Genomic DNA, 10,547 nt, shown 5'->3' on the forward strand with positions numbered 1-10,547 from the left:
AAGTAAAGTAAAAAAAATAAAATGATACTAAGAGATGCTTGCCAAACAAAGCTTAAAAATACAAATGAAGGGTCAGACATATATGATTGCCATAATCCACAGACTTTTCTCAATTCAATAGAGAGAGAAGTGAGTTTTCATACTCATAATCATAGGCTTTTAAAATTAGCTCAGGAAATTAACAGTTTATTATGGTCCTGTTAATGTTATTACTATTATTCACAACATCCTCCTCTCTCTATTTTTCTCAGGTTTATCAATTGGTCTACTGTAACTTCATTTTTCCAGATGGATAGTGGGTACAATAAATAGCTTTAGCAAAAGCTTTAAATGACAAGTTTAAACATAATATTCCAAATGAAAAAAAATAAGGAAATGGCACACATGCGCACATGCACATACATTCACAGGTGGCTTTTTAACATGGATGTAGAAAGGTGTGTATGAAGTGGGGAGGGAGATTCATTGACACCAACAGCATTAAGAAAGCCACTGAGGTGGTTTCTTTGGCTCCAGCAAAATTTGGGATCAATTTTTCTTGGCAAGAATTACGACTCCGGGGATGCTAAAAGGACATTAAAGTAGCCACAGATAGAATTAACTCTATCTATAACAGATAGAATTAACGATTGCTCTGGAAGCCTTCCAGAGTGGTGGGCTAATATAGCGTATCACAGAATTGGGAGCACAGGGGAACCACAGAGGTGAGAAACCAGTCCTGGTTTCTCAATCACCACCAATCAATGTGGAGAGAGTCATTGTGTTAAGTTACTAGTGTAAGTGAGGCCCTGTGATGGCCACCTGTAGCAGGGACTTTCGTTGTTCAGAGACTCTCTCTGTGTGTGTGTGTGTGTGTGTGTGTGTGTCTGTGTGTTCGTGTGTGTTGGTCTCAGAAGTCACTTATTTAGAAAAAGGAAGCCAACTTAATAAGAAAAGCAATAGGAAAAATTTGGTCACAGACTATGATGTAAATAGACTTGTTGAAAAATCACTGTGTCTTGGTTTTAAAGTCTTGTTAGTTCTAGCATCATTGAAAATTTTACAACTCCAACGTGCAACCAAGAAGCAGTTCTGCATATTAACTTGTCTTAACAATAGTTGGTAACAGACTGTTTAATGTCAATTAAGAATAAAGAAAGCTATAGCTGTAAGAAAAGCTGGTAGTAGGGATGAAACAAAACCAAACTTTAGACCATACCCATCAATAGTGGCTTCATACAAACTAGGTCATCACATTATTCTGTTTTATTTCCTTGTCTTGATATCCCTAGAGAACTATAAGAATAAGATGTGCATACTAAAAAAAGATAAATTGGAGTCATTGATTGAGAAGTTGTAAGTGGTTCCTTATATATTAGTTGTTGGCAAGGAGGGGGTTGGAGTAGTGGTCACAAAAGCTAGTAGCAAAAAAAAAAAAAAAAAAAGTAGCAAATTAATTTCCACAAAAGTGTCTAGGCTATCTTAGAAGCCCAAGGAACCCACCTTCCCCATGATAAAGCATCCATGGTAGGTAAGTGCTATTTAAAGAACCAGGATTAATTTATGTAGATACTGATGTTATTTAAATATTTGTGAGAAAGATCTCCAGTTATAAGTACTTGTTCTCATTTTTATAAAATATGCCTATGATTTCATATTTATTTTGCTAGAATGTTTTTCCTAACACAATCTATTTTAGTTAAAGCAAAAAAAAAGTCTTTGGCATATCATACTCAACTTTGTGGTACGAAGGCATGTTGTGCAAAAATTAACATTTTTTAAAACCCAGCCAACCAACCAATGCTCTGTTGAGCACCTACGATGAGCCTTGCATAGTTTCAAGCACTTTACATGTGTTATTTTAATTAATACTGACAAAAATACAATGAAAATAGTGTTATCTATTATCCCATTTTACAGATAGAAAAACTCAAGTTTGACCAAGTAAATATTTAATGGAGAATTCTCAGTTTGGGAATGCAGCACCCTTGTAAGAACCAGGCTCTCTGAGGGCCTATTTCTCCCACCAGCTGTCCAGGTAAGAATAGAGCCAAAGCACTGAGCTTTACTGTTAAGCCACTAGACTGAGAGATACATGTGTTCTTTGATATTTTAACAAATTAAATCTGGTCCCAATGGGGCCAGGTCTTTGGAATCATCCTTCACCGTGTTACTCAAACCAATCTGTAGGTGAGATGTGTCTGGAACTCAGATTCACAGTGAAGGCTTATATAAAGCCATACATGAGGAGCTGCTCACCACCTGACCATTGGCACAAATACTCTCTAGGGCAGTCAGTGGTCCTCAAATTTCACAGCATGAAACACTGCCACTCTTAATGAAGTTTTCACCAGTTGGCAGACCAGTAAGGAAAATAAGGACAATAAACTAGGCATATAAAATACTAGTGAGAGACTGCCATTTCTTTTGTCTGAGATTATACTCCTCCTACATTGTTTTGGTAGTAAATCAAAATTATATATAGAATAATGGGGATAGAGAGTGATTGGTATTTGGTTTTAAATGTTCTAATTTATTCTAACCAAAAATTTCTAATATTTGAATACTTGTGTGTATTTCTCACACTATGATATTTTGTTTTTATACTGATTCATGAAATCCAAGGTTTTTGTTACCAGTGATTCATGGAACACATAGTATTCTCAATAATAATAGCCACTATTGTAGATTGCAAAAATAATTACAAGTCTCCATTTGTCTTTGTATTTATGTCAGTTTGACTTTGAACTGTGACTTTTCAACAATAGGAAGAGTCTTTTTCTCCTTCTATTTGAATTTGCCTGGTCTTGTGACTTGGCAATATAATGACATAAAAATAATGGTGTGCCAGTTTGAAGTGTAGGCCTCAAGAGGGCTTGATTAACTCTACTCCATCTCTTAGAACTTGCAACCAAGATGTGAAGAAGCCCAGGCTAGCTTATATAAGAAAAGAAGCCATGTGCCCAGATGAGCACCCCAATAGCCAATAACCCATTCACCCTCAGAAGTACATTCATCAGGATACATGAGTGAGCCCAGACCAAATCAGCAACCCACAGAACCAAGAGCTCAATAAATGATTGCTAGTTTAAGCCTCTAAGTTCTGGAGTGGTTTGTTAAACAGCAATGCCTGATATCATCACATCCATAGGCGCTGGTTAGAAATGGAAACGGACATTAGAAGACCCCTACTGGAACTTTTTAAAACATATATTTTTATTTAAAAGGTAGCTTTACAATCATCTTTACTGTTTTTATTTTAAAATTGAAGAAATTTAGGGGCATAGCTTTTGTGAGAATTATGCCAGCTCACACATCTAGTTATTGGTAGAAATAATTCTAGAAATTTAGAACAATAAAACTATTTCCCAGTGTTCCCTGAGTGAAGCAAAGATACCTACATTTACCTATCTCATAGTAATCAGGTGATGTTTTCGTGACACTTTGAATGGAACTATCAATTGCCTTTGTCAATAAATGTCACTGGATTCTAGAAAATGTATTTTGATGATTCTCTTAAAGGAATGCAGACCCCACTCCTCACATGACATGCTGCCCCCATTTTAAATTAGAAGTATTTTCAATCTACTGGAGTGATTAGGAGTTGGGAGGCCTAAATTTAGGAAACACTGGTCCTAATCCTGTCTTCGTGAGTCATTGGTTCTCACTCTGCTCCTCAGCTTCCTCATCTGTGAAGTAATGGGGCTGGACTCAGTGACCTTTAAGGTCCTCACTATGCAACAGCATCACAAGCCCTTTATCTGGTAATTCTAAATGTTTGGAAACAAGGCCCAAAAGATAAATGCATTAAAAGTTTCTAGAGCCCAAAGGCCTGGTATTTACTTAGTAGATAGCCTGCTGCTTTTCCAAAATCCAAACAAAAGAAAATTTGGTTTACAGGTGTTTTTGTTATGGGTTGTTGTAGGTTATTCTTATAGAAATGAGACTCATACATCTCTTTTTTCTAAGGTTGCTTTTGTGTATGTTATGATCGTGCTTTTCCACAGTCATTAAATGCATTCTGTGACTTGAGTTGAAATGTATTCAAGCATCCACGTGAAAATAAAACCAGGCACATTGAAACCTCTATTGCGATATTTATCACTGACTGTGCTCACATGACTACAGAGCACCATAAAACCCTGGAGGGGTTACCTTCACTTAACTGCGTCCTTCTCTTTCACCAGCCATTTCTTATTGCAAACAGCTGCTTGGAAACGAAAAAACATTTTCTATTTCCAAGGGATCATTGTTGGCTCTCAAAGTACTTTGCTCGTTTTATTTAACCAATGTTTAAGTTTAATCAAATTCCTAATTCAAAAAATGAGCCAACCTTGCATTTTGAATCACTAGCTCCTGAGACTTGTGCATTTAAAATAGTATAAAAGGGATCAAATTCAAAAGCACATGAGAAAAGTGAAGTGTGTGGTTCTTATGTGTTCTGCTTACTCCTGTGATGTTTCTGGACCAGCTGGCCTCTGCCCACACAGGGGTTCTAAGGGCACCAACCAAGTCAGCTTATAGTGAAGGCTTCCTTGAGTTCTCATAGAGAGCCCATTCCAAATAACCTACCAAAACTGCATCAGCACCAAAGTAAGGGCAGAAAACAAGCTTCACATAAACTTTATTAGCACTCTTTATTATGAAATAAACTAGGCTTACACTTCTTTTGGAGGGGAAAATGATGAACACAAAAAACATACCGTATTTTTACTTACTAATGTGCACTTGTAAAATGCATGGCATGCTGCTTTACAGGCAGTAGCATATAAAATACTTTTTCCAGATGTGGATTCATAATTCTCCAAAGACTATAATAGTTATCATAAGATTTATGGAGGATAATTTATTAATCACATCTTTTTCTTTTAGAGATCTGTTGAGTAAGATGAAAGAGAACTTTAAAATGTCATTTTAACCGAAGGTAGACGGCATGATATCAAGTTACTCCTTTTGTTCAAATTATTTTTAATGACTTTATTTGTTTTATTGCCTCCACAAGTCAGTACCAACTTGGTGGTAATGATCTCTTCAGGAAATCTCTTAAGATTTTTAAAGTAAAATAGCATGGAGCTATTTTAAAAACTAAATGAACTGAACTGTGTGACTTGATTAGTGTTCATTTATTTGAGAAACACATGAGCTACTGAAGCTTATTTTTTTATAAGATTTGGAAGAGACAAATCTTGTGAAAACTGTAGCTCATTGAACATCCACACAGCTTCCTCAACAGGAACTTAGAAGCCCACTTGTATCTAAAGTACTGCAAGTAACACATTGTTAAATAAAATACACATTTCAAACATGGATCCATTTAATCTGGCTTAGATTATTAAAATACAGCTGTGCTAAATCCATATTGAGTAATCCATATTGAGTCACATGATGAGTAAAAATACCCAAATGACCCTCTTATTGTCATCACTTTATTTAAAGTAACTTTTGCTTAAAGCTTAATACTGCAAAAGAGAAAAAGAAAATTCTGCAATTCAGGGGGACTCATGGGTCCTAAAATCCCTTGTCCTCTCATACACCATGAAATCCCTTCCAAATCCCACTGCCCCCAGGCAGAGGCATTTACACTAGGCAATTGGCATAGATCATCATTGAATGAACAGTGGGCATACAGATTTTCGTTCATCCAGGCTCTTGCAACAACCAGAGTTTCTTTATCTGTACTATAAAGATAATATTTACTTTGCTGAGTTATCACAAGGGTTAAAATAAAATGATGCATGTAAGTCATCTACAGCCTGGCACATAGTATTCAATAAACAGGAACTATTGTAATTCTTGTGTGTACAAGTGTGTGAGGAGTTTGTTTTAATTTTGAAAGAGTAATATGGTCAAGCAGTATTTATTGACAGATTTAGAAATAAGGTGTGTAAAATTATTAGCAATCAGAAACAGAAACATATTGAATAACTACCACACGTAATCCACTGTTCTAGACTTTGAAAGGGGCACCAAAATATATGGGAAGCAATCTGTGTTCCAAATTATTCATAATCTAAGAGAGCTCTCTTACAAGTGCTGAGCATTTCAGCAGGATTTTAAACTGAAGGCATTATGATACCACAACACCAGAGGCAGGCCTGGGATGGGAGTGGCTGTTTCTATAGGAAGGGTATAGACAGTGCCTCCCAAAAGTCAAGCAAAGGCTGAGGATGGATGAGTAAGCTATGAAGACTGCATGCAAGTTGGGCTGGGATGGGTGTAAGAAGGTGAGGAGTCTAGAAAAAAAAAAAAAACTTAAGAGCATTTGATGTTTAAATTAACCTGGTAATCAGAGAGAAGTAAGACCAGGTGCACAGAAGAAGACCGATAAATTAAGAACCAGGCTAAGTTTCAGTGTAGAGATACAGGGCCTCTCTGAAAGCCTCAAAGCTGAGAGAAGGCCATAGTTAATACCAGTATCAATCCCAAAAAAGAAGATGTCTACATCTGGTGAATCTATGTGTCCCCAAGGCACCTTCTGAGGTGGTCCCTGCTGTGGCGGTTTCCCATTAGACAAGGAAGCCACCCCTGGAGGAGGCTGGAGAAGGCAGCCTGTGGAGAGCATGGTCCTTCCAGCTCCCCATCCCGCACACACCTCCACTGCCACGGACTCTGCCCTCTTTACATATCTGTCTGCACCACGAGACTGTTAGCTCCAAGATGACGGCAATTATTTTGTTTCTTCGAGATCATGGGCAGAGTCTGCAGTCAGGAGATGTCTGTTGAATGCTCTATTCTTGGCTGAAGAGCCAGTGGGAATAGCAATTGTCTAAAAGAGTATGTTTACAGGATTCTAATCTGTGTAGAAAGTGCCACAAAGAAAGGAAAAGGAGGAGAGAGCAATGGGAGTCTAAAGCCAACTTAGGACCCTGATGTGAAAACATTCCCCTAACACAGCTTTAGTTACTCTAAGAGCACAGCCTAGAAATGCTCTCTCTAGGGATGCTTTTTAGCCGGTAGTCAAGTGGCCATGAGGAGCTACTCAATACCAAACCAGACTGCATTTGGATCCTTTCTCAGCCCGAGGAAGAGCCAGGCAGGAACAACTCATGAGCTAGAGGCATGTACCCAGAGCTCCCACCTTGTACCCTGAGAGGCTGTGGGGGCGTGATGCTGCCTGAACCTTACAGCTGACAGAGCAGGAAACAAAGGAACATCCCTGAACCAGAGGGAAATGTTCTCTCCTGCTGGGCTAGCTGTACCCATTTGGAAAACAAATGAGTGCTCTGTGCACATGAGGTAACAGACTCTCCCTTGCCAGGATGGGGAAGTGCTCCCCAGGTCTGCGCTACTCAGCTTAACCTTGGGGGGAGACGTTCTAAAATGAGCCCAACATCTCTTCCAAGTCATTCCTACTCTTTTCTTAATAAATGCTTTTTATCTGAGCCTTGAACAACAATCAGAAGTTGACAGATCTGTGCAACAACAGAGAAGCCCCATGGGCTCCTCTCATAGAAGCAGTAAAAAGAGCCTCATAGGATAAGTCAAATAACAGCACTTTTTTAGTCAGTCCAATCCCAAGACCAAATTCCATGGCCCTGAATATGTGTGTTATATAAGTTCAGAGATAACAGACAGCAAAAGTTGGGTAGGTCTTCTCTGAGGAGGCGACATGACAGTGTTTTCTGGAGTAAAATTGCTGCAGAAGCAAGCCATGTGACATAGGGCTTTCTCCTTTTGCTAAGTTGGAGTCAGGTCATGGTGTGCCTGGAGTGGCTGCCAGTGGAGTTTACTAGACAGGGGGCATACACAGTTACAGATACATCGTCAGCACACAGACTCACCTTCCTTTTTCCAGCCTCATCTGTATCTGATGCCTCAGGAAAACAATACCTCACTCATATACCACACTTAATTTGTCTCAGGCGGTATTCCTAGTGCTTTGCACATAATAACTTAATGATTGCTCATAACAGCCCTGTGACTTATGCACTATTTTTATTTCCATTTTTACAAGTTAAAGTGCTATCAAGTTGGCAGACACCCTGATAGGGAATGTTTTATCTTCTAATAGGCAAATGTCTTTCAGAGCCCGGAATCTACAAAAAAAGCTAAGTCTCATTTTCATCTCTGTTGAAATCCAGATAGTCTCTAAAGTTTAAGAGAATAAATGGCATTTAACTCATTAGTCTGCAAACAACACCACTGTATATTCTATTCACCAGCTTAAAGTACAGAAGTCAGAGCAGAGGTGGGGGCTCAGGGCATAAATTTACCATCTGTGATGAAATGTAATCAGATCCGAGGAGTTTCCACTTTGAAGTCTTCCTGAATCTGTGTGGGTTACAGGTCTGAACATATCACCAGCTTTGACAGGTGGCTTTATTTTTCATTTCAAAGGGGGAGAAAGAAAGGCAAGAAAACCAAGGGAACACATGCACAGCAGAGCTTTGAATGTTGCCCTCTCCCTGCACCACCCGCCGACAATGCTCACAGAGGCACTTTTCCCCATTCAGGTCACAAGGTCAGAGGAGCAAAAGCAGTTGCACTTGAATCTGTCCAGGGTTTTGTCCTCCCAGGCATAGTACTGTGAAAGCAGCCTTTCTCCAGCTCAGGGTGCCCACCTTTCTCCTCAGCTCCTAGAGTGAGCACAAACTAGCCCCACATTTTGGCCAGTGCCCCTGGGGTCAGGCACCAACCAGATGGTGTCGACAAATAGAAGGGACTCACCTAGAGGAGTGGCTCTTGTCATCTCAGAGTGGGATGACCATGTTTTTAAAGGTTGACAGGCAGCTGCCCTTCAGAATCACTGAGTCCATGGACTGCTGGTTACAACACTGAGCCTATCTAACCAACACCCTCACATCCTAAGCAAGACAGCACAGAGAGGGCTGAGCACTGCCAATGGCTCCCTCTGGGTAGGTGACTATAAGACTTAAATCCTGCCTACTTCTGAAAGGATTATCTGCTATTTATGCATGACAATGGAGCAAAGCCGAGCCCTGAGTGTTGCCAGGGCAAATTCAGGCAAGCACAAGCTTGTCCTAGCCTGCCTAGTGCCTCCTGCCTGAAGACCTGAGGAAGTCCCTGGAAAGGCTGACAATCACCACATCCCGTAGCACAAAGACGCCCACCCAGTGGAGACAAGGGACACCCTTTACAAGGCAGTCCACTGGGTTGGGGAAGAAGTTTCTTCAGGGGAAATGGGTCTGGTACATGAGATCAGATCCGTCACCTGGCTTTGCAGAGAAGGGTAACTACCTGTATCCAGGAGAGGTGACACTCAGCTTATCTTCCAACCCAATGCACTTGCTCAGGGCCAGTGCCAGAGCCCTCAGGACAGAAGCTTAGAGGGTAAGTCTCTGAAATCCTGTAAGGCTAGAGATCCTGTATGACACTGAGGCCACAAAGCAGCATAACTCCTGAGCTGAGTGCTACAGGGACAGGATTTGGCTTCTTTAATACATGATGTTTATTAGACATTTTTTCTGACTACAAACGTAATACATGCTCATTACAGAAAGATTAGAGACAGTGGGAAATCACAAAGGGGAAAACAAAAGTCACCTGGAGTCTTACCACTCCGGGCAAGTGAATATTACATTTGCCCAAGTCCATTTTTTAAGCTGTGAATATATTTTTTAAGAAATAAAAATAAATACTGTTTTGTAGCCTGCCTTTTTCCTTAGCAATATCACAAGAAAACTTTCCTCCGTCTGTACGTACTCTTCCACATACGGGCTTAGTGTCTGCTTAACGTCCCACTGTGTATATGTGTATGTATTTGTGCAAACTTCTTGTTGATCACTGGCTTCATTTCATCTTTCTTGATACTATAAATGTTCACTGAAGTGACCATGGGTATGTTTCACTTTGTGTACACCTCTCAATCTATCCTTAGGATAATTTTTTAAAATACAGCTATATGAACAAAGGGTTGGCATTTCCTATTTTCAAGAATTTTATTACATATTTAAGCTTTGAAATAACTAGAAAAGTCCTTTCCAGATTGCTCAGTTGGTGCCCTTGGCTTCATAAAGATTGAAGGTGACTCTGTCTTCCGAGTTCTGGCAGCCTTCAGGTTGCTTTTAGAATCCAGTTCCTGCCCCCAAGTGAAGTTTGATTAATGTGCGATGTCATCACTCAGGGCAAACCTGTATCCCATGATTGATCTTCGCAAATGCCCCTCTGCACTTGGTAGTATTGCAAAGTGTTTCAGGGCATGGATTTGGGGGTCAGCTAGGCCTGGGTTTGGGTCTCTGCTTCTCATTATTTTGTGACACTGGGCAAATTACTTAATCTCTTTCATTTTCCACTGTTATTATTATTGCTAACTACTCACTCACCAGCCATCTTCACCCCTGCCCTGGATTGATAGTTTACAATGACATTCTTATTTTAGACTTGAGATAAGAGGTATGAGAAAAATTGATAATTTTCTGGGTAGCAAGTAATGAAACAGCAAGTAGGACTCAAGGCCAGGTGTGGTGGCTCACACCTGCAATCCCAGCATTTTGGGAGGCCGAGGCGGGTAGATCACTTGAGGCCAGAAATTCGAGACCAGCCTGGCCAACATGGTGAAACTCTGTCACTACTCAAAACACAAAAATTAGTCAGGCATGGTGGCAAGC

General features: G+C 39.9%; 2 annotated features.

Moving 5' to 3' along the window:
• Positions 8,336 to 9,535: an enhancer, noted in NCBI's record as "MED14-independent group 3 enhancer chr2:19428093-19429292 (GRCh37/hg19 assembly coordinates)". NCBI's record gives its function as "activates an origin of replication core promoter dependent on BRD2, BRD4, P300/CBP and CDK7 cofactors, and independent of MED14, by STARR-seq in HCT116 cells {active_cell/tissue: HCT116}" and the evidence as "EXISTENCE:reporter gene assay evidence [ECO:0000049][PMID:35650434]".
• Positions 8,620 to 9,166: an enhancer, noted in NCBI's record as "OCT4-NANOG hESC enhancer chr2:19428377-19428923 (GRCh37/hg19 assembly coordinates)". NCBI's record gives its function as "activates a minimal SCP1, AML or CMV promoter by ChIP-STARR-seq in naive and primed H9 embryonic stem cells {active_cell/tissue: H9 hESC(naive and primed)}" and the evidence as "EXISTENCE:reporter gene assay evidence [ECO:0000049][PMID:30033119]".

Source organism: Homo sapiens, chromosome 2 (genome assembly GCF_000001405.40).
Source record: "Homo sapiens chromosome 2, GRCh38.p14 Primary Assembly".
Lineage (NCBI taxonomy): Eukaryota > Metazoa > Chordata > Mammalia > Primates > Hominidae > Homo > Homo sapiens.